The following is a 25,033-nucleotide window of genomic DNA, read 5'->3' on the forward strand; positions in this document are numbered from 1 at the left end:
CCAGAAGCTCGACCTGCAAGGCCAGCTCTCTCCTCTGCAGACTCATTTCTATCCCACAGCAAGTTGTCACCGTCTGTAAACAGGACTTTCCCGGACACTCCCACAGAATAACAAAAAGGGACTGTGTTTCCTAGGGTGAAACTGGGTGGCCTAAAACAGCAGAATTGTGTTGTCTCACAATTCTGGAGGCCAGAAGTCTGAAGTCATGGTGTTGGCAGGGCCAGGCTCTGGGTTGCTGCTAATCCTTGGTGTTTCAGCAGCTGCATGACTCCAATATTGCCTTCATCTTCACATGGAGTTCTCCTTGTGTCCCTGTATCTTCACATGACAGTTGATATGGTTTGGCTGTGTCCCCACCCAAATCTCATTTTGAATTGTAGCTTCCATAATCCCCAAGTGTTGTGGGAGGGACCTGGTGAGAAGTAATTGAATCATGGGGGCAGGGTTTTCCCATGCTGTTCTCATGATAGTGAATAAGTCTCATGAGATCTGGTGGTTTTATCAAGGGGAGTTCCCCTGCATATGCCCTCTTGCCTGCTGCCGTGTAAGACATCGTTTTGCTCCTCCTTGCCTTCCAACATTATTGTGAGGTCTCCCTAGCCATGCGGAACTGTGAGTCAATTGCATCTCTTCCCTTTATAAATTACCCAGTCTTGGGTATGTCTTTATTAGCAGCATGAGAATGGACTAATAGAACTGTATTAGCACACTCCAGTATGACCTATCTTAATTAGTTACATCTGCAATGACCCTATTTCCAAATAAATTCACATTTTGTTGTACTGGGGATTGGGACTTCAATGTATCTTTTTTAGGTAAAACATGATTCAAACCAAAACAGGAACCCAGAAAATATATTAGCTTTCTTGTAGACACAGGCCAGGAGTAGTTGGGTGTGTCTGACATGGGGGTGTTTTTCTGTGACAGTGTGTGTAAGGTACGTCATAGTTCTAAGTTGATGGAACACAGAATCTGCAGACTTTGCCAAACATTCACATTGAACTACTATTTATGTTTTTATTTTCAAGCCAATTATTTAAGTACAATTGGCCCTTGAACAATATGGGGTTTAGGGGTGCTGAACACTCCCACATAGTTGAATATCCAAGAATAACTTTCAATTCCCTAAAACCTTAACTATTAAAAGTCTACCGTGGAAAATGACATAAACAGTTGATTAACACATTTTGTATGTTATAGGTACTTTATACTGTATTTTTACAATAAAGTAAGCTAGAGGAAAGATATTGTGATTAAGAAAACCTTGAGGAAGAGAAAATGTATTTACTATTCGTCATCATAACATTTTTATCCTTGTTATCTTTATGTAGAGGAATGGGAGGGGTTGGTCTTGCTGTCTTGGGGTGGCAGAGTTGAAAGAAAATTCATGTCTAAGCGGTCTTATGCAGTTCAAACCCGTGTTGATCAAGCTCCACTGTAAAAGCATATGCCTTGATGATGGCCTCAAGCATAGTTGGGACATTCTTGCCTTTCAGACTAGGATGCTAAATGTAGCAAACACTTTATTGAGGGAAGGCCATAATTAAAGAAACACTGTCCCAAGAACTGAGCTGGGAAAAGGAGCAGATTTAATGGGTTTGTTCCTTTTGACCTGCTGTGGGTATTTGCTGGCATTTTGTTTTTAGTAGCATAAATGCTTACCTATCTCAGCTTGTGATTATGTCTGTGTATTAGTCCGTTTTCACGCTGCTGATAAGGACATACCCAAGACTGGGAAATTAACAAAAGAAAGAAGTTTAATGGACTCACAGTTCCACATGGCTGGGGAGGCCTCGCAATCATGGCAGAAGGCGAAAGGCACCTCTCACGTGGTGGCAGACAAGAGAAGAGAAACTGTGCAGAGGAACTCCCCTTTATAAAACCATCAGATAGTGTGAGACTCATTCACTGTCACAAGAACAGCACGGGAAAGACCCAGCCCCATGATTCAATTACCTCCTACTGGGTGCCTCTCATGACACATGGGAATTGTGGGAGTTATAATTCAAGATGAGATTTGGGTGGGGACACAGCCAAACCATATAAGTGTGTGTGTGCATGTTGTGTGTATGTTAGGGTGTTGGTATTATTCATTTCCATTTCTACTTCTTGTTGGTGTGTGAGGTGTGAGGGGGTACATAGGGAAGATACCATGCATTTGAAAGCTCTCTACAAAACAATGAATGTCAAAAACTACATGGAGGCTGGCAGACATTTTGTCCCTCGGTGAAGGACACACTCAATGGTGACTGAGCAGAGTGGTGCTGACTGTACCCCCTGGCCATACCCCTGACCCTGGATTGAGCAGATCTCTAACCTGGCTGCTGCTTCTTTCCGGGACACTCCTTCCCTGTTCCCAGGAGATGCCCTGGCTCAAGGGCACTTTCCAGAGTGGAACTTTCTGCTGCTTCCTAAAGTTCTTCCCAACCTAGTTGCTAAGCAATGCTGGTGCTCACTAGAGGGGCTGCTCCTGCTCTGGGCATGGGTTCACCATCCCATCTGCAATTTAAATTCCCTGACAGGCAGAGGCAGCCGAGCTGTTCACTGGAGATTGCAAAAACTTAGATTGAAATACAGGGAATATCCAATGCCTCGAGCCCTTCATAAATTTTCCTTTGATAGTAACTGGGAGAGAGATGAGAAAAGAGGGAGTGAGAAGGTGCCAGAGAGGGGAAAGCATTGCAATTTAGACCTACACACTGGTTTTACCTTTGATCAGTGTTCTCCATTCCCTCTTTGCCCCAGTGTGTGCTTACTCTCAATCTTCTCTCCGGACTTTCTGGCTGTCTCCATTCATCTCCCTTATCCCACCTTGTTAGTGAGCTTCTGGGCATCTCTTTTGCTTTTCCCATGGCTGTCTGGACATGAAGAAGCAAGGACAAAGCCACTGACTGGTTAACAGGACCACACAGGTTCCATTGTGGCCAAGTCCCCAAGGGCCCCTCTCCTGGGGCAGCCTGCAGCCCTCCAGGGCCTGGCAATGAGAAGCTCCCTTGGCAATGCCCAGAGCTACAGCTGTCTTGACAATGGCTGGACAGCCTGCTGGGGCCCCAGCTGCAATTCTTGGGGGCACCCAGGCTCCTCGGAGCCCAGCAGAGCCCCAGGGGAAGCTGTGCCCCTCAGCCCCCTGCAGCTGATTTGTAGTGAAGGAGGTGTGGAGTTGGGCTACACCATCTCTTCAATTTCCCAGATCAGATCCATGAGGCATCAGAATCAGGCACTGCCAAGGAGCTTGCAGAATCTGCCTCACTGGAGATTGGATTCTGGGATTAGTTCTCTCCTTCAATCTTTCTCCTCTCCCATTTCACTCTTTGGGTCCTGTCCTTTTAGTCTCAGTGTCCTCCAACTTAAAAAAAATCGTCTTACATTTAATTTTCTCCCTATTCCTCAAACACCACTCTTAAGTTATTGGGCATTCCAGGTTCTGCCAAGGAGATGGACTGACAGCTGGGCTCAGGACCTTGCAGTCTAAGGCAGACAACGGTGACCAAAACTGGCTCATGGAGACACTGGCTATTCCCACTGACACGCCGCCCTTGGGCCCTGCCTGGTGGCCTGTGGACAGTAGAAACTGGCCTTAAGGAGCCTTCAGCCTTCAACTGGGTTATTTGTGCCTAGTGTGCTGTAAGATTAGGGCTGACAGACACAAGTACAAAGATCTTGAGTGCTGAGGGAAGTTAAGAAGAAATGAAGCCATTTTACACTTACTAGGGGGGCTATAATCAAGAAACAGAAGATAACAAGTGTTAGTGAAGATGTGGAGAAATTGGAACCGCCATACAATGCTGGTGGGAATACAAAATGGTGCAACCTCTGCGAATAGTTTGGCAGCTCTTCAAATATATAAACACAAAATTACCGTAGGATCTGGCAATCCTACTGCTAGGTAGATCCTGAAAAAAAATTGAAGGCAGGGATGTTTGCACATCAATGTTCACAGCAGCATTATTCACAATAGCAAAAAGGTAGAAGCAACCCATGTATCCATTGATGGATGAATGGATAAGTAAACTGTGGTATATCCATACAATGAAATATTACTTAGTCATCAAAAGAAAGGGAATTTTTATATATGCTACAGCATGGACAGACTTTTTGAAAACATTGTACTAGGCAAAATACACCAGACACAGAAGGACAAATACTGCATATTCAATTTATATGAGAAACCTAAATTAGTGAAATTCATAGAGACAAAGTAGATTAGAGGTTATCTGGGGATGGGTACAGAGTTTGCACTGGGGATGATGAGACAGTGGTGATGGTTACGCAATATTGTGAATGCACTTAATGTCACCAAATAGTATGCTGACAAATGGTTAAAATGATAAAAAATAAGTTATGAATATTTTGCCATAATAATAAAAAAGAGTGGCATGAGGCAGCCAATGCGGTGAGGGGGAGCTGGGAGGAACGCCTCCTGTGATAAGAGGGAGGGTGGGGAGGGCGGAAGCAGCCATCAGAATGTCAGTGCTGAAAGGCACCGGCCTTGCTAGTGGGGAGGGCAAAGGGACACCACGTGTGGAGATGAGGCTGAGAAATAGGAGTGAACGCTGAGCGTGAGTGTGAGTCCGTGCCACATGTGATGTCAGGAGAGGGCGTGAGTTATGCAGGTTGCCAGGTAGAAGTGAGTAGGGTCCTTAGAGAGCCTGGACTCCTACTCTTAATCTGCAGATAACAAAACCAAGACCCAGAGCTTTTCCCAGGGTTTGGAAGGAAAAGAAAAAGGAGGATGAGTGTTTGGTCATCCCATGGGGGGTTTGATTTCAGCCAAATGACATTCCTCCCAGGCCCTTCCCAATATTAGTTTCAAATGAAGTTCTGGGGAGGAGCTGATGGGGGGCAATGGAGATGACTTAAAAGGCAGCGCTGGCCTGGAGGGTGTATTGATCAGGGTCTGCAAGTGTTTTTGTCCAGCCTTCTCCTGCCACCTCCCTAGTCCTTCCAGGGCATCAATCGCGCCCCCACCTCTGTTCCAAATGGAGCCTTGGAGACCTGCGGCTGTAGCATGCTCTGTCCCTGTGGACAGGAGAACAGGGGGAGAAATAGGCTAGAGCTGCTCACCTGAACAGCTTGACACCAAAGAATGAGGAGCTCAGTCCAGATATGAGGGTTTGGAGAAAGCTTGCTGGATGGTAGGTGGTATTCTCAGAGCTGCAGGTGGAGGACGGGACTCTCAGCATCCATAATGCCCCTGGAGCTGGAATTGTGACTGGATTCTCTCTCACGGTGTCCAGTGGTTTGTCTATGTCTCTCTCCTCCTCATATTTGCCTTCTTTCTCCACCTGCTCCTGTCTTTCCAGTCCTCCCTACAGCAAGCCCCAGGCAGCGGTTTCTGAGGCAGGCGGCCATGGATGGATTCCAGCCATATTCAAAGCCACTAGCCCTGTTTTCTCAAGTGAGCCAGACGTGCTCTCTTCCACCATTTGATCTTTATGCTGCTCATGCATCTTGTTACAAATAGCTCAACCTTCCCCGTGTTGACTGCAGCACTGGGACATTACAGTAATGTGCCCATTCAAATCAAGTGGATGCAAAGATCGCTATAGCAGCTTTTAGCCACGGAACATTTAGCCTTCAATAATAGCATTTCGGGTCCTTCAGGGACATTCCTCTGCTGATGCACCTGGGATGCCTTTTTCCTCCTCCCCACCACAACCCCCAGAACTAAGGAGGGGCAAACATGACTTTTGTTGATGAGGAAACAGAAATTCAAGTAAGGGAACATCATGCAGAAAATGAGAGGGTTAGGCCTGATAGGACCACGATGATCATGATAATAATAACAACAATAATTTTGTGCACTACTATGCTGCTTACTGGGTGAAGGAATTTACTTGCATTGGGGTAGGTTTTACATCTGCAATTTCTGGATGAGGTCAGTGAGGCTGAGGGGGTCAGTAGCTGTCCTAGGCACAAGGAGAATGCCACCTTATAGTTGTTCACCAGTTCTTCCCAAAGCCTATGCTTGTGATCTGACATGGAAAGCAACTCAAGGCTGTCTCCACGGACATTCTAAAATCAGAGAGAAGCTTCCTTTCCCTGCCGCCTCCAAGGCCCCATGCGAGGACCCTCCGGCTGGTGCTGTCCAAGGACCTCTTCCCTGGTCCCTCCTGCCTTCCTCGAGCAGTATTCCCCTCACCCCCATCCTGCTCCAGCCTCAGCCAGTAACCTTGGTGGATTTTCACTGAATATGTTGCCTCCACCACCAACAGCATTTTTATTTGCACTTCCTTGGGGATGCCTTGCCTGGAGGAAGGAGTCTGTGGGATTGTCCAGAGGTAAGAGGGAAACACTGCGCAGTGGGAGTCCCAGCAGGGGCGAGGAGCAGGGGAGATGGCCGGAGGCTCTGTCTCCACCCTCCTCTTACCACTGCCCATTTCCAGGAAAAGACAACCCAGCCAGAGCAGGGCAGTGGCACGACGGCTTGCTAGTGCTGTAGCATACCTGGTACCTCAGTGAATTTTCCGGGACATGAGAGGCCCATGTAATAAATAGGTCAGGAAACTGAGCCACAGAGAGGACACGGGACTTAGCACAGGGGAAAAGAGTGGTTGAAATGGAACCAGATTCCAGGAGGCCTCATTCCCAGTCCTGTACTCTTCCTGCGGAGACACCATGCTTTGAACCAGGCTCGAAGTTGCCAAAGTGAACATTTTAAAACTTTTCCCAGGGCTCAAGAGATGGCCGAGTAAAATCTCCAGACACTGTGGCTCCCACAGGCTCCTTATTGGGCCATTCACTTCATGGGCACAGTTTGGTGGTTGGGGTGAGAGGAGCTTCGTGGAGAGGACAAAGGATGGGGAAGGAGCCTAAATCCCAAATGCAAGGATTTTGTCCTAAATCCCAAATGCAAGGATCCCCTCCCTTTCCTCACAGAGTTCAGGTAGCTCCTCTTCCTTCTCCTCCCAGGTTCTATTCCCTCCTGTCTGAGTCCTCAGAGCACCCCGGAAGCGGGAGGGCCTCTGGTTGCTTTCGCGGCGGCAGGCTTTTCTAAGCCGGTTTCTCTGGAGGGTGCGGGCGGCTGCGGGTTCCAAGCTCGGGCTCTGAGCCGGGCCAGGCGCGCGCTTCCTAGTTCTAGCAGCAGAGGGCGCGCCTGTCATTGGAGAAGGAACCGCGCGGCCGCAGCCCCTTCCTCGCCGACCGCGTCACCTCCTGGCTGCCTGGGGACCCGCGCGGGAACCCCGGAGCAGTAGATTTGTGGAGGTCGACCCAGGTGGACGAAAGAGCTCGGCACACCGTGTGTCCCCAGGCCCGCTTCCTCCGTGCGCCTCTGTCATCTGCTCCATCTCCGGGAAGCAAAGGGACTTGGGGTGTGGCACAAAGAGCAGGGATGCAGCGGCCGGGTCACTTGGATGGTGTCCTCATCTGAGGCCAGGCCACACCTAGGCCTCCCCACACGCTGTTCCTATAGGAGTGCCACCAGGACTCACTCCAAAAAGGAATGGACGGCGAGGGTTTGTAAATGGGACAGCACCCTGGGAGTGCAAAGCCTGGGACCGGTCCCGGTGGCCTTGGCCAGTCCTGGAGCCTCTATGTGCCCAGTTTCTGTGTAATGCAAAGACACTGAATGAGGAGATGGTCCCTAAAACCCCTCCCAGGGCCAGCATCTGGGATCTCATGCTTACATCATCTTGTCCTTCCTTTCCGTGGACTCTGCCTGTTGGACAGAGTCCACTGACATGCACCTGCCAGAGCTGGGCGGGGAGGGGCCAAAGTTGTCCTCTGTGAAGTCATATGAGAGGCCTGAGAGCAGCAGGATCGGTCCTCCTGTGTCTCATCTCGCGTTCTTCCTGCTCACAGGAAACAGAATCCCTACCAAGTTTCCATCCTAGAGACAGTCGATGTGACTCATTTCATCCCCTGGTGGTCTTGGTTGGCCGCACTCATTGGGTGCAGTACCTCTGATGTGGGAGGCAGGGGTCGGTGGAGGGGAACCGCTTCCTCCACCGGGGGCCAGGTTGTGGGAAAGGCTGGGAAAACACACGCTCTGGAGCAGGCTCTTCTGTGAACTACCTTGGGCACATGGGAGAAATCCTTCAGCATCCCTGAACCTTAGCCAGTCCATGAAACGAGAGGCTGGAGATGGTGTCCACATCCCTTTGCTGTTTTGATGTCTGCACTTGGTGAATCATGGTCAAGCACACCTAACCTCTGCCTCTCTGGAGAAGGGAAACGGAGGAGGAGGAGGCAGGGGGAAAAGAGACCATTTAGGAGGAGAGCAGAAGTCAGAGGGGAGAAAGGTGGATGGGAGGATGCAGTGGGTGGATTTGCACCTGCTCAGAGGTGGGCAGCTGAGCTTTGAGGAATGTGCTTCCCTGCACTGCATGGCGTGAGATGCTCTGTGTAGGGGATGGGCAGGAAGCGGGGGGTTCTGGTGAATTAGGAGAATATATCTTGGTAGAAATCCAAGTGTACTCTCGGTCCGTCCATCTAGACAGGATATAACCTCTTAGGACACTCAGAAACTGAAAATAGAGCATGTATGGCTCTGGAAGCAAGCCTGTGTGTGTGTGTGTGTGTGTGTGTGTGTGTGTGTGTGTGTTTGTGTTTATGATGTGCAAATGCACAAGCAATAGAAATACAAGCACCATGCAGATTGCATAGGTAGGCATCATCAATAAACATTTATTCGGCACCTACACTCAGAAACTCACACACATTTACAAGCCCAACATATCCTGCTATACACATGTACAAAAAAGATCACATTGACCCCTAAGGCAAAGAACCGTTTGCTTGAAGAAGCTTCTCTTACAAGATATTAATAAAATACGCAGGCACATTTTAACTTTAAAAACTCTGGAGAAGGAAAGAAGGAGGGTGAAGAGATGGGGCTGGAGGGAGGAATGGGTAAGGCAGGCCTAATCACAAAGTACTTAGCCCATGCGTCTGGGCCTCTCTGTAAGCACCATATTTCACGATACCTTCAACCTGATTTTCCAACTCATTGAAAACACTTGCCAGCTGCTGCTGAGTGACTCCATTTACTGTTTAAATGAGCTCACTCTAACAGGGCCCCTGGAAGGTAGTCCCTAAGGAGAGCTATGGGTGGAAATGGAGTTGGAGGCCCTAGATCTTGGAATTTTGACTGGGGAATGGGAGAAGGGAGAGTGGGGTAATCACCCAGGAGGGAGAGGGTGGGGCAGGCCAGGAGGGATGGTGAGAGTCTCTGGTGACTTCCATGGGCACATCTTGGATAGGAATTCTTTGTGGTGGGTAGTGTAAACTTTTTTCCACCTCCATCACCCCACATGCAGACTCAAATATACAGACATGTGAAATGACATTCAGGGATTTCATAGTACCTCACAGGATGGCTCCCAGGAGCTGGTCCTCTTGCAGATATGTTAGCTATCTGCCTCTGCATTGATGAGCAGAGTGTTCCCTTGCAAGACCCCATCTGTCGTAAACACCACCCCCCATGGGTCTGCCATGATTCCCTCTGTTCTCTCAATCACTGTAATGTGGGTCCCTAATGCTGCAGGATGCTCCTCTCCCATTTTCCCCTCCTGTCCTTTTTTTCTGTCCTCCTCTGCCCATGACAGAAGCTTCTGGAAGAAAGAGAAGGCTCTCCTATTAGCACATTTGTATGAATAGATGGGTTTGACAGGGTGCTGGCATGCTGAAATGACAGATAATACTCCCGGGAGGAACTGAGACACTGAGCAGCTAAGTTGTGATTAGAAAGCATGGGAGAATTTCCAGGAAGGTGAAGGCTGGCTGTTCCTGGTGAGGCATCTGGGGACCTTGTCAGCCACAGGTCAGATACTGACCCCTTCGGCTGGTTAATTCGGTCCTTTCCCATTGTAGCCCATAATCAGTCCACAGTCTGGGATCAAAGTTTAGCAAGTCCTCCATGTTTTTCCCACAGAGACAGGGGACCTCAGGACCCCACTATTAGAGACCCCTCAATCTTTGCCTTCAACTCTGAAGCCAGACCCAGATCTGTACGGGCTGAGAGAAAATCTTCAGGGAAACCTTTTGCCTTTGTAGCCATGCAAGTTGCAACCCCAGGCTGTGGGGCTGGGCTTCTCCATCTGGTTATGTGGGGATCTCATCATCAGAACTCATCTATATTACCCAGATTGGGTGACTCTGGATTAGCCAGGTGGTGTGGAGGAGGCCTGCTCTTTCCCCGCTCCCTCCCTGGGGCATCTGCCTTCAAGGTTTGATCTGCTGTCGGCCCCTCCTCCTTGCTCCTAAGCTCCCAAGCTCCCTAACTTCACTTAATCAGCTTCCTCTGCTGCCTCTCATTTCCAGCAGGGTGTGGCTGTGCTAGGAAAGAGACTTGGCCCACAGCCTCACAGTGATTCAGAAGACGCTGGGTGAGGACCTCTGTGTCCCTGCTCCAAGGACCCTGAGATGACCCATCCCAGGACACTCAATCCTGCCTGCAGATGCTAGGCTCTGAGGAGATGCCTGCTATAGCACCAGCACATTCTGCAGACATGTTTTGAAATGTGTTAATAAATAACTGGAGAACAGTATCTATACAATTACCTAGATTTGCCTGAACTTTACAGGGCAACTAAACAAACAGACATACGTTCGCAGAAAGGCCACAGTACAGAAGACAAACCGAGGCTTGGTCACCCTGAGGATCAGCAGCCGGATCTTTTTCTGAAACAAATTTCCTGCTAGAGAATCCCTGATCTCTGTGATGCAGTATTTCCCTAGTTTTTATTTCTACTTCAACGAGGCACCTCAATGTCAGTTTCCTTTGGGAAAAGAAAATCAAATGTCCCCACAGCTTTTGCCCAATTGTGAAGGAAAATTTCAGCATTGATTGTCTGTCTGGACTCTTGTGGGGAGGAGGCCAGTGGGCCTAGTAAGACCCTTAGCACACCTGGGCTGTCTAGCCTTAAGGAAACCAGACCTGCCAGGAAAGCAGAAAAGCTGTGAAGAGATTTTTCTCTGCCTTCCTCGGGGGACAATCTTCCAGAGCAACAATGCACCATGTATTTACAGAAAACTTATTATGTTCAAGGTGCTGGGAGAAGCTAGTTGCAGATACTTAGAGCAGTAAGGCTTTAAGTTAGACATAAGGAAGGACTTCCAGCTATTGGTATTGATATAGTAGGACCCAAGCTTACTTCACAGCTTGCATCATCAGGGAAGGATGAGATCATTCTTGAGAACATTTTGAATAAAGGCTTAGAGGGACTGAATATTGAACGATCCTGTTAACATTTCTCCCGGTCCTCCTCCTGCTTTCCAGGATGATACTGGTGTATGATTTTTACTTAAAGCCCTCCCCCATCCCCACAGAGACACCTGGAGCCTGGCGGGCCTTGGCATCAGTGGCTGTTGTCATGGCGGGGAGAGCTGAGGTGACCACTGTGACTGCCCTGGGCACAAGGACCGTCGTTCTGTGAATCCTCCCTAAGCCCGCTGGCGGGGCCCCTTTGCTGCCACTGCAAGTAAAGTTTCCCAGCTCAAGTAAATTCTGGAGGGGATTGACCTAATTTCCAGAGTCTAAGGGGTGACAAAAAGCCCCAGTCAAAACTCCTGTAAGTGGGTGATAAACAGTCTCTATTAGAAAAAATAAATAACATCTCCAAAGGAGAGCAGGCTTCCTAAGACCCCCTTGCCTTTCAGAGAGACAGCTGTCTCCTGGGAGGAGGACTCCCTGAGCCTCCCGCTTCAGCCGCTCCAGAGGAAAGGTTTGCCTTGCTGTCTCACTGCAGCGCTAGCTGCTCACCATTTTCACCGACCGCCGCAGCCTCCTGATGGACCCCACAGCAGGAAGAGGCTGTGGGAGAGGTCTCCACCCTTCAAGGTGGGGCTGACAGTGGTGCTTGGCCTTTAGAGTTGAAATGTATTGGTTCTCTGCCTTGGGAGGAACAATCACTCTCTCTCTCTCTGTCTCTCTCTATTTCTGTCTGTCTCTCTCTCAAACACACATACACATACACTGAGACAGCTATCATCATACCTAATTTACATATTATGGAAACCGAGGCCCAGAGAGGTTAAATAACTTGCGTGGTTTTGTCCAGCTATTAAGTGGGCAAAGCTAGAATTAGAATTGAAGCCCAGTGACAGCTTTCAAATCAAGTTCTTTCCCCTATTCTGGAGCTGCAGCAACTTTAATAAGCATAAGAAGTACTTTGGGATCTTGTTCAAATGCAAGTTCTGCAGGTCTAGGGTGGGGTGGAGATTCTGCATTTGCAGTAAGTTCCCAAGTAGCAGGGTGTGCTACAAACACCTCAAAGCTGCAGACCCTGGGGAACAGTCCCCATAGAATAGGAGGCGGGAATCATTCTGGAAAATAGGGAGACATAAATACCCAGACAAGCTTAGGTCTCCAAGGAGGCAGGGAGATCAGGAGTGGGAGGAAAGGGCAGTCTGTCTCTCTTTCCTTAGAAGACTTCGTGGTTTGAACATTGCCTTGGTTAGATTTCCTGATATGGGTACAACTTGTGCTGATCTCAGTGGGAATCTGGAGCCAGAGATGACCAGGAATAGAGGGGGATAACATCTGCCAAGTTCCATTCCTGGTTCAAAATTCTAACTTGCCAGCTTGTTCATTCATCTAATGACTCAGACCTGATGGCAGATTGAATTTTCCAAAAATGACTGCAACAATATCTTCCATCCCACATGTTATTCTTACAGTGGGACTTTCCATCTAGAGGTAGGACCTGTATTTCTTCCCCATGAATCTGAGTGGATGTGCAGTTATAGTTGAAGTGATGCTATGGGACTTCAGAGGCTAGGTCATAAAAGGCAATACATTAGGCCGAGCATGATGGCTCACACCTGTAATCCCAACGCTTCGGGAGGCTGAGGCGGGTGGATCACCTGAGGTTGGGAGTTCAAGACCAGCCTGACCAACCTGGAGAAACCCCGTCTCTACTAAAAATACAGAATTAGCTGGGCATGGTGGCACATGCCTGTAATCCCAGCCACTCAGGAGACTGAGACAGGAGAATCACTTGAACCTGGGAGGCGGAAGTTGCTGTGAGCTGAGATCACGCCATTGCACTCCGGCCTGGGCAACAAGAGCAAAACTCTGTCTCAATAAATAAATAAATAAATAAATAAATAAATAAATGGCAATACATTTTCCACTTGGCTCTGTTGGGACACTTGTTCTTGGAATCCAGCCACCATGTTGTGAGGAAGCCCAAGCAGTCACATGGGGAGGCCATGTGGAGGTGTTGTGGCCAACAGGCCCAGGTGATGCCCCAGCCAACAGCCAGGTGTGTCAGTGAACAGGTTTTTAGATGATTCCAGTACGTAGTCACTGAGTCATCTCAGCCTTTGACTCTTTCCAGCTGAGCCCTCAGACATTGTGGAGCAGAGAGAAGAAATTCTTGCCTTGTCCTGTGATATGGTTTGGCTCTGTGTCCCCACTCAAATCGCATCTCTAATTGTAATCCCCACATGTTAAACGAGGGACCTGGTGGGAGGTGATTGGATCATGGGGGTGGTTTCTCCCATGCTGTTCTCATGATAGTGAGTGAGTTCTCACGAGATCTGATGGTTTTATAAGTGTTAGGCTGTTCCTCCACTCTCTCCTTTTCTTGCTGCCTTGTGAAGAAAGTACTTGCTTTTCCTTCACCTTCTGCCGTGATTGTAAGTTTACTGAGGCCTTCCCAGCCATACAGGACTGTGAGTTGATTAAACTTCTTTCCTTCATAGATTACCCAGTCTCGGATATTTTTTATAGCAGTGTGAAAACAGACTAATACACCTTGTTTGAATTCTTGACCAGCAGAATCCTTGAGCATAAAAAAGCGTTGTTTAAAACGCTGATGCGTGGCCAGGCAAGGTGGCTCATGCCTGTAATCCCAGCACTTTGGGAGGTCGAGGAGGGCAAATCACCTGAGGTCAGGACTTCGAGACCACCTGACCAACATAGAGAAACCCCATCTCTACTAAAAACACAAAAATCAACCAGGTGGCAGGCACCTGCAATCGCAGCTACTTGGGAGGCCAAGGCAGGAGAATCGCTTGAACACAGGAGGTGGAGGTTGCGGTGAGCCAAGATCATGACACTTCACTCCAGCCTGGGCGACAGAGCCGAGACTCCACCTCCAAAAGAAAAAAAAAGCTGATGCATTTGTGGTGGTGTGTGACACAGCAACAGCAACCCACGCTAGCCCCAAAGCAGGGACTGCCTGAGGCGGTGTGGGTGACAGGGCTCAGGAGGGATTTATAAACAGGTTGGAAAGTGGGTTAACTCCTGTGTTCATGTGCACTTTACACGTTCAAAGATGCTTTTCCATACTATGGATGCCTCAACAATTCTCATTTTACAGATGGGAAAACCCTGTTTTCAGATGATTTTCATGCTGAGGCTTATGAAGGTTAAGTCGTTGTCAAAGGTCACGCAGGGGCTGAGGTTGCACCAGGATGACTCCCAGGTCTGACTCCAGAATCAAACCTCTTTCCATTAAAGCTGTGCTGCCTCAGTTCCTGGCCTCGCTCAGTCCTTGGCAAATAAAACGTCACTCACTGCCTGGTGCAAAACCACGGATGGCTGGAGCCCTCCCCTCGACATAATGAGTTTGAATTTTGTGCCTTTAGTACCTATCATGCAAGAAGAAAAATCTCGAGCGTTGTTTAATAAACAGAGTCAGAGGGAAGCGATAGAATAGGGCAGGTGTTATTTATCAAATGTAGGAAATAGTTTAATCAGGAAAAATCAATCCTGGGGTGACTATTTTCAGGAGGGTGAGGATTAGTGTGAGGACTGAGCTCATCGGTGCTCCAGGATTTGAGAGGGGCTGCAGATGGGGAGCAGGTGTTGGGGTATTTGAGCCTAGCTGATATCAGGTATTTTTCCCACTTTCTTTGTATCTGCAGAATCTCTCCACAGACTCTGTGACTCAGCACTTGTGGCTCCCAGGCTGTGGCCTTCATTACCTCCGAGTAAGGTGGCAGACTGGTGACCCCCAGCTCTCTCAGGCACATTGTTCCTGCTGTGATTTCAAAGATGACTGTCAGGTGCTTGTGGACAAAGTGTCCCTGTCCAGTTTGCCTCTGGCCACAGCTCCCAGCCCTTCACGTATCCCATCCCTGGCTCCTGATAGTGTTTGAATCTTGATGCCATGATATGACCCCACCTTCTTCCTAGCACAGGAGTCTTTGAGCAGAGCTGGTCGGAACCCACGCCACAGAAGCAGCCGTGGGAGGGTGCAGGGCCTGTGCTCTGGGGAGAGGAGTTTTATTCAGACTCCCTCTCTGGTGGGATTGCACCTCTCAAATTCCTGGCAGGATGGGACCGAAGTAGTCACCCTTCCCCAGAGTCTCATGTGGGGAATGCTCCCTTTCCTGGCATCCTATCTCTGGGTTTCTGGTTGGAAGGGATACTTCTGTCTCCCCCAAACTCTTCTGCATCATGCCTTCTAGCCAGCAACTGGACACGATGGGATGGTCATTTGTATGTGTCAGCTTGGTAAGGCTGCAATGTTAGACACTAACCATGGTGTTTCATAGATGGGGTTAGCATCTACTGTCAGCTCACTTCAACTGATGGAGATTGCCCTCTATCATGTGGCGGGGCCTGATCCAATTGATTGAAGGCTTTAAGAGCAAAAACTAAAGTTTTTCCAGGAAAGAAGAAATTCTCCCTCAAGACTGCAGCATGAATTCCTGCCTGAGTTTCCAGCCTGCCCTGCAGATTTCATACTTGCCAACTCTAAAATCACATAGACCAATTTCTCAAAACAAATGAAAAGTAAATATTTTTACACACACACACACACACACACACACACACACACACACACTCCTGCTGGTTCTGTTTCTCTGGGGAACCCTGGCTGATACAGACAAACCCCTGAGCATAACATTTTTATTCTCCTTAGCAACTCTGACCCAGGAATGGCAGGTGTGATGACATTGGTGGTGGAGGTGGGGGGAAGGTTGAGGCTGACATGCAAACACACATGCACACACATACATTTTTTGAGCCTGTGTCATGTGGACATTATCTGCTGCACGTAGTAAAGAGGGAGGGTCTGCTGGGAAGAGCACTGGACTGGGGAGCCAAAGGCCAGAGCTCAGGTCTTGATTCATGACATTTACTGTTCTTCTGTAGAACTGGGGGGAATTCCAAGAATGATCAGGGAAACCAAATAAAATATAAAAGTTACAGCATTTTGTAAAGCACTATGCAAATGTCATTTGGTATCTCTTAATTTTTTAAAATGCAGATTCATTCCACAAATGATCTAAGTTAATTATTTTTGAGAGAGAATCTGACCAATAGGTGGAAATGGACTTGGCTATCTTCCCTCTGAGTGACAGTTCAGCACTGTAAAATGAGAAGAGAAAAAACTGGGGGCCATTTGTCTGAACCAAAGGAAACTGTCAACAGACTTTAAAAGAGTTTTATCAAGGATGTAAATATGAGGTTATTGAACTTGCTAGAAGGTGGTATTGGGGAAGGAAAGATTCCCACTGGAAGGGGCTTTGACAGGTATTTGGGCTGTGGGATGTTTGAGAGAGAAGGGGCAGATCTAGCCCCTGTGGTCCTCCTGTTCCCCATCATTTCTTTGCCTTCCTTATCTTGATGTTTCAGAGCCAACCCGACAGCGACATCTTTGCACCCTCAGCAGAGGGTGGGAGCTGTAGGCAGTTGGTAGGGCTGAGGCTTGTCCTGGGAAGGAGAAAGAGGGTCCACATGGCCAGCTAGAATGCTTAGAGGATTCTCTGCAAAGTGCCCTGTGCCCCTACTCCATATACATGCCCTAGGACCCTAGGGTCTGATTTTTAACTCCTCAGTTGCCTGTCTCTTAGACTAGCCTATGAATGTTATGTGGTCAGAGGCCATCATGACCTGTATCCTGGCACATAATGTTTAATGAATAAATAAATGAAGTCCCAAGGATGCTCAAGCTGCAGGTCATCATTCATTACAGTCATACTCCTGTGTGCACTGCATCAGGAGCCCTGTGGGAAAGTGATAGAGGAAAGGAGGGGAAAGGGAGGGGAGGGAAAAAGTAGGGGAGATAATTAACTAAACAAAGAAGGAAAATAATTTCTATCCTCCGGGGATTTACAACTTCCACTTGAGGAGGTCAGATATACTCACACAATGCTAACAGTTTGCTCCTATAAAACATAATGAGTTTCATCCTACAGCATCTCACTGTAAGAGAATTAGCAGCCAGCCCGTGTGCAAGCAAAGGCAGTCTCTTGAGAAACAAACCTGGAGGTGCCAGGGCAGAGGAGACCAAGTCCATCCTGGATGGGGTAAGGCTGGGTTAATGAGGATTAAACCTAGAGGGAGTGCAATTGGAAAGGGCATCTGAGTGGAGTGTTGGCCATTCTCTGAGCTCAGAGTACACAGGCAAGCTGGGAAAAAGCCCTCTGAATCCAGCCAAGACTGATGTCTCAGATCCTGCCCATCTCAAGCTGTCAGGGACCTTCTCCCTTACAGCACATTCAGACGGCACAGCCTTGCATTAATTTAGAGCTAATTGTCAGGTAATGAATTCGATTTGGCTCACCATATTGAAATCCCTTCTGCTCCCAGCTGAACACCAGTAAATCATTTGCATCACAAATCTTCTCTTTGCTGGATGCTCAGCTTGCCCAAGCTGTTGTTCAGACCCTTCCTGCCTCCCCACATTCACTGATCTTTGAAAGCAGCTGAAAATCATATCTCCTTGTTAGAGCCACAAAGCTGAGACTCACACAAGAAAACTGAGTTGGGGTAAGTGTCTTTGAATAGCCTAGAACAATGGTTCTCCAAGTTTGGTCCCCTGAACCAGCAGCATCAGCATCCTACTAACTCATTACAAATGCACATTTTCAGGGCCCACCCCAAGCTAATGGAATCAGTAACTCTGGGGTTGGGGCCCAGCAGTCTGTGTTTGAAAAGACTCTCCAGGTGATGCTGATGCACACTCAAATTTGAGAACCACTAGTGATATGGTTTGGCTTTGTCTCCCCACCCAAATCTCATCTTGTAGCTCTTATAACTCCCACGTGTTGTGGGAGGGACCTGGTGGGAGACGATTGAATCATGGGGGCAGGTCTTTTCAGTGCTGTTCTCGTGATAGTAAATGGGTCTCACGAGATCTGATGGGTTTAAAAATGGGAGCGTCTCTACACAGGCTCTTTTTGCCTGCTGCCATCCACGTAGGAGGTGGCTTGTTCTTCCTTGCCTTCTGCCATAACTGTGAGGCGTCCCCAGCCATGTGGAACTGTAAGTCCAATACACCGTTTTCTTTTGTAAATTGACCAGTCATGGGTATATCTTTATCAGCAGTGTGAAAACAGACTAATGCAACTAAGTCTCTTAAAACATCCACTAGATCCACCAGAAATCAGTGATTCTTCTCCATTCACTTCAACTCCCTGCAAGACCAGCTTCTCTTTCAGGTTTCTGGATTTTCTTAGGGGTTCTGAATTTATTTTCTACCTCTGAATTAGCTAGAATTAGGTTCAGTTTGGGGGAAAAAGACAGCTATAAGTGACTTAAACAAGTCAGAAGTTCATATCTCTAATGTAAAGAAGTTGGTAGTAGGCCATCCAAAACTAGTGTTGTTTTGACAAGAACATGCTATGTTGCAGCTCTGCCAGCCTTAACATGCTGCCTCATGGCCCAGGATGTCTGCTCAGGGTCCAGCCATCACATCTGCATTCCAGCAGAAAAAAAGAAAGGAAGGGAGAAGGGCATGCTTATTTCTTTACAGAAACTTCCCGGGAGTTGCACACAGCACTTTCATCTTAAATCTCATTGGCCAAAACTCAGTCATTTAGCCATATTTGGCTGCAAAGGAGGCTGGGAAATATAGTTCTTACTCTGGGTATTCATGTACCCAGTGGGGAAAAATCAGGAAATCTATTTTTGAGGAAAAAAGGGAGATCATATATTGGCATAGACAACTAGCCACAAACAATGATCTGTGCCACAATTTCTGAGACGTATTTCTGCTTCAAAGTCTTCAAAGTTCTCCATGTTCTTTACATTCTTCAATGCGGGCTTCACAACACATTTATTTCAGGAAGCCTTTTTCGATCACTCTGAGCACTGCTTTTCCTGACAGCCCCCACGCCTGTAGCCCACTACATTCAATTGCCACTGCCTGCTGATCCATCTAATTTCCATGGAGTCGTGATCCACCGTCAGACAGTAAGAGCCTAGGAGCACGTGTGTGGGCGGCTTCGCAGCTGGTATTTGTGGAGCTGTGGGGAGTCTGTTAGCTCCTCCAAGGCCTGTCTCCTCACCTGTAAAAGGAGGGGACTGTAGGTGGTCCCTGAGTGCCTCCCAGCTCTAACATGCCACACTGCTCTTTTTTTCGATTCCTTCCCAATGTTGTTGATGGTCCTTGAGGTGGGGAGGCAGTGGGGCCTGACCAGTTAATGAGCAGAAGAACTCAGGGAGCACTGATGATTCATGAAGGCATGGATTGCAAAGGCAGGAAGTACGGCTCAGGGCTTGATTTGGATGATGGCTTTAGGGAAACCGGTTCTGGAAGTGAGAAATGTGATTTGTATTCAAATTAGGGGAATCCATGGAGAATCCTATAAGTTTGGTGCTGATAGGGAGATCATTTATCTGAAATTGCCACTCCTTGCCTCAAACTCCTTCCCATCTAGGTCTATCTTAGCCATAAAAACTTAAGACTTTAAAAAACAGACCAGCCTGAGGTCCACAGAGAAGAAAGGTAATTTACCTAAAGTCTTACAAGCAAAGAGTGAAATGACAGAATTGATGCCTCCCTGAATATGACCTAAGAGTCACTAAAAGGTCATCATCAGTCCACGGCCCTCCCCTTACTCCTAAATGATCCTGGCTGGAAGAGTGACTCCACTGGAGTTTTCCTGCAGTCGGAGAAAAATTGAAACCCCAGCTCTTCCACTGACTTGTTGTGAGGTCTTGAATGAGACACTTGACCTCTAGAAACTGCAGTTTTCTTATCTGTTAAATAGGGGCAATAACCACTTTGATTCTTAGGAGGATTAGACATATTTACATCAAGTCCCTGACACTTCTGCAGGTGTACATTAAACTTTATTTCCTTTCTGGAGATTCTTAGGCATTATAGTCCGCTGAAGAGTTTTCTCATCAGGTAAATTAGACGTAGACCTCCATATATTTAAGTATCTGTTTAGCTGAGAAACTGCTAACTGCTCTCAGGACAAATTCAACTAACAATAACACTGAGCTCCAAGATAAGCCTGGGTCCCCAAACTTAAGGTCTGTGGTCAGAGCAGGGAAGGGCAAAGGAACCAATAATGATGGACACTTCTTATGTCCAGGATGTAGGACATGCTTTATCCAGCTTAATCATCCCATAGTCCTGCTAGCAGTTCATCATCCCATTAAGGTTAGGGTTAGAGACTGGATTAGGATCAGGGTTAGGTTTGTTAAAATTATTTTACAAATGAGGTTATAGAGGCCCAGAGATGTAAGTAAACTGGCCAAATATATCAGGGGAGATGAGAATCATGAACCCGGTGGGATGGAGAAAGGTGAGTTTTGATTTGATTTGGGTCAGAGAGAAAGGGAGAGAGGGGTTCCCTCGGCCATCACCTCCTTGGGAAGACCAGGCTTTGCAAGCTTTGTGGAGTGAGCTGGGTGTCTCCCTGGCATCCACCTCTACCTGAGCACTGACCACTCTGCATCACTATTGGCTGACGGGGTCCTTGTCTCCCTCCTCAGGACAGGGCACACCCATCATCCCACTCAATCATCACATCATTCAGATATCTGTTTGTTACCCAGCCTTCCCCATCCCTGTGCCTGAAGCCCAGAAGGACTTTTAAAATTGACTTTAATAAATTATATTACAATAATTTATTACAATTATAATCATTTATTACAATTATACAATTTATAATTATTACAATTATATATACAATTATACAATTAATGTACTATAAATACAATGTACAATTATACAATTAATATACAATTATAATTACAATAATTTATTGTAATAATTGATTTATCAGCCAGTTGCAAGCTGGGTAGTGGGGTCAGAGTAGACATGCTTCCCTCTCCTCTTGGAATTAATAGTCTCATTGGTGAGACAGGATTAACCCACGGAATAAGGACCTGCAATCTGAGGCTGCTAAATGGCATGGCCCCAACTGGAAGCCCGGAGGTTTCAAAACAGATCCTTAACAGCTGCAGCTGTTAGATGGATCTTGATCCCTGGAGACTGTTTGGGTTTGGTCAGGAAACAAGGAGGGAGGAGCAGGAGTGATGGTGGCCAGTGGGAGTAGCTGGCTGGAATGAGTGGCCGGTGAACAGCAAGGAGAGGCTTGTTGGGGGAGAATGCAAAGGCTTAAAAGACGTGAGAGGATTTTGATGCTGAGAGCAACAGGGAGCCATAGAAAGTGCTCAGGCAGGGAGATTCAGGATCAAGCAGTGTTGCAGACATATGAGTCCTGGAAAGTGGTGGGCAGAAAAGACCAGGAGGAGAGAGCCTGGAGTCAGGCAGAATAACCAGAAGGCCAAAGGAGTGGCCTCCCTGTTGCTTTTCTCCACATTTGCTCTGTCTCGGACTTTTTTCAAGGGGCTAGTCGTTTGGACACAGCCCATACGTGGACTCTAGGAACTTCTTTCATTTGTTCATTCACTTATTCTTTCAAAATATTGATTTTGATACTTATTATGTTCCAGTCCCTGTGGGACTGCAGACAGGAATGAGGCAAGACTCCTGCCCGCAAAGACCTCTGCAACTGAGGACAGACACAATATACATACACACAGCTACCTAATGACTTCTTTCATCGATGCTATGCCATTTAAATGAATTATTTCGTTATGTGCATAAGCTCTAGTCCTCTGCCCCCACCTCCACCCCCATCTTCTCACTCCCACTGATTTACCCTTTTTTCCATGGGGCTCACTCGTAAACATCAAGCACTGTGCCATGGTAGGCAAAGGAGCTATGAGACACAGGGAGTGGTCTATGATGGGCTGTGAGATGGAGTTCCTTCTATTGATGTCCCCTGGCCTGCCAGAGCTTGTCCACTCCCACCACTTGGCACCTTCTGCACACTGTGGGCCCCTGGGGGCAGAGAGATTGCTGAAGATTCTCTTGAGACCTCTGTCCCCTAATGTTTAACACCAATCTCTAGTGTTTCCAGGCCTCGGGAGCTGGAGCCCACTGACTCCTTAACCTCCTGGTCCTCCTCTATTTCTCCTTCAGGCTTGTTCCTCAGATCAAGGGAAAGAGTCGAAGGCACAGAGTAAGATGCTCAGGACCACCTGGGCTCGGTCACTGGCTACCAGCACACACATTTAGCAGCTCTTCCCTGTGGTTGAGGCTCTCCAGAGTAGCCAGCATTAAAGCCTCCCAGTCTTTACCTTGTTAAAAATCAGACCATCAGTTACTTGTCAGAAATCACTTCTAATATAATTCAGTGGTCTGAGTGGGGCAGGCAAATGCACCAGGAATGACTGAACATGTCCTGTAGACTAGGCTGCATACACCCATCATCTGCTCGATCATCACATCATTCAGATATCTGTCCGTTATCCAGCCCAGAGGAAAGTGGGAATCAGGGTTAGGAGTAGGCTTATTTCACTCATTTCACGTAAGTGAGGCAACAGTGGCTCAAGTTCACTGTCCCAAGTTTACACAAATCCTGGCACTGTGGGATTTGAACCAGGTCTGCCTGTGCTCATGCACTTTGCAGTGTTGCTGCTTTGCTGGCTGAGGGTCCTCACGAGGCTGCAGAAATGCAGTCTCTAGCCTGGAAATGCTTCCCCAAGTCTCCCAGTGTTACCAGCTTCGGCTGTGTTACCACTGCCTCTGAGCACTGCTTTCTATGTGTTGCCCACCCCTGTCAGGCACTTACTATGAAAGCCTGCACTGATGATGTGCTGGGACACTCTCTTCTTTACATAGTAACGGAAAATATTGCAGTGCAAACATGGACGTCTGCAGGGCCACAGAGGAGGCTCATTTAAGTTGGCATCAATTTTGCTAACCTCCTGCTGAAATATTTGCCAATCGAGCCAAGGTTTTGAACTGCCTGGGGCCCAGGAACACCTCTTCTATTGAACACCGTCCTTGAATGAGATCAAATTTCCAGAGTTTGCAGAGGCTTCATTACGTGGTTTTGGCTCCCACGACTTTGAGATCATACAAGGCGATTTTGCATGCACATCATGCTTTGCTTGCTTGGTTGCCCCTCTATTCTGGTTTCAAGTTGAAAAGTTGTGAGTATAGTTGAGGTTTGGCAAGCCAGAAATGCGATGCCCCGGAGTCCAGGCACCTGGAGCTGTGTCTTCACTGGCTCTCCCAGATGCTATTTACAAAGTACATTGTCTCGGTTGTTTCTCGCGACTACCATGTGAGATGAGCCAGGCTGGGATTATTCTCTCTAGTTTATAGATGGGTCAATGGTAGTTCAGTGAGGCACCTGATTTGCCAAGGTCATTTATAGACCCTGGCCCTGCCTGCGCTCTGTCCTTGTCCCCTCCTCAGCCTCCCACAACGCCTCCTATGCACAGGAGCCAGCCTCTGCACAATCTAACAACTTTTGTTAATGGAATTATGAACATCATGCTTATTGGATGTGGCAGAGACAAGATCTTGCAGTGGACAATGGCTGTCTTGAGTTCCCTTGCTCTGCCCACCACCACCTCTGAGCTCATCTCACATAGGCCTTCAGACCAGAGCTCTCATGCTGCCCACTGACCAGTAAACCTGCCCTCAGGGTACCCCTGCCTGGGCCACTGAGCATCCGTCCCTCCACTCAGACCTCCCTCTCTCCCTACTTCCCCTTAGGTAATCTCACCAACCCTATATCTCCATCCTCTCAGGTTCTGCTGGTGACCAGATAAAATAATCTAAGAATTAGAAGTTAATTACCCTGAGTGATATCCCCACCTTGGGGGGCATGGGTTGATGGTGGATATTGATGGGCAATGATTCACTAGCCTAGTTCTAACCATTTCTACCCACACCCCAATGGGTTTTTCATACCCAGACCTCTCTGCCTTTTCTCTCCATCTTGAGTACCCTCTCGTTAAAATTGGCCATGTTTCTAACCGTCTCTGCATTAGGACATCTTTAGGATGCTTTAAAGGGATACCTGACGCCATGGCTGAAAAGCAAAGGGCCAGAGAAGTGAGCAGATGTGTTCAGACCTTCGGGCTGGTTGTCATTCCCACTAGCCTCAGGCAGGTGATGGTATGTGGCTGTTAGAGCATGGACTCTAGATCCAAAACATCTGGGTTTGAAACTGGGGTCTGCCACCTGCTAATTCTGTGATCTTGGTCAAGTTATTTAACCTTCCTGTAGCTGATGGGTAAATTAGAGAAACTCTAATCCTTACCTCAAAGGGTTATTGTGAGGGTTGAATAAATTAATGTACATAAAGCCCTTAGGTCAGTACCAAGCATATTATAAATCCTCAAAATGTCCTAAAAATAGGAGCCATTATAATTCTTATGTAGCTAGCTATTTGTTGCCATTTTTGGCCATCTTAACAATACGTAATAAGTGTGTCCAGTACTTCTTAGTTTCAAAGGTGCTAACGTATACTTACCTCACTTCTTCAGCACAGGTGAAGGTTATGGGATACCTATGATGGTTAATTTTAGGTGTCAACTTGATTGGGCTATACAGTGACCAGATATTTGGTTAAACATTACTTGGGGTGTGTCTGTAAGGATGTTTCTAGATGAGAGTAACATTTAAGTTTATAGACTGAGTAAAGCTGATTGTCCTTCCCAATGTGGGTGGCCCTCATATACATATTTGAAGGCCACAGTAGAACAAAATGCTAAGAGAAAATTCACTCTCTACCTGACTTATTTGAGCTGGGACATCAGTCCTTCCCTGTCTTTGGACTAGGACTTGGACTGGAACTTAAGACCATTGACTTTCTTGGTTCTTGGGCCTTTGAATTCAGACTGGAACTATACCATTAGCTCTTCTGGGTCTCAGCTTACAAACTGTAGATCTTGGGACTTCTCAGCCTCCATAACTGCAGAGTCCATTCCTTATACTACATATATATTCTGGGTTCTCCAAAGAAGTAGAATATATTTATATCCTATTCTTTGGAGAACCCAGATTAATATAATATCCAAGGTCAC

General features: G+C 47.4%; 1 long non-coding RNA gene across 1 annotated transcript in view, besides 1 other annotated feature; it reads left to right on the forward strand.

The window, feature by feature from the left end:
- The window catches only part of LOC101928782 (uncharacterized), a 38,734-nt gene extending 28,248 nt beyond the window's left edge, over positions 1 to 10,486 (forward strand). The window contains exon 6 of the long non-coding RNA NR_110836.1: positions 10,264 to 10,486. This is a non-coding gene — a long non-coding RNA (uncharacterized LOC101928782). The remainder of the gene's footprint in view (positions 1 to 10,263) is intronic.
- Positions 7,037 to 7,096: a silencer, noted in NCBI's record as "silent region_18667". NCBI's record gives its function as "represses an Ori minimal core promoter by ATAC-STARR-seq in GM12878 lymphoblastoid cells {active_cell/tissue: GM12878}" and the evidence as "EXISTENCE:reporter gene assay evidence [ECO:0000049][PMID:35858748]".
- Positions 10,487 to 25,033: the final 14,547 nt, after the last annotated feature.

This window comes from Homo sapiens, chromosome 7, assembly GCF_000001405.40.
Source record: "Homo sapiens chromosome 7, GRCh38.p14 Primary Assembly".
NCBI lineage: Eukaryota > Metazoa > Chordata > Mammalia > Primates > Hominidae > Homo > Homo sapiens.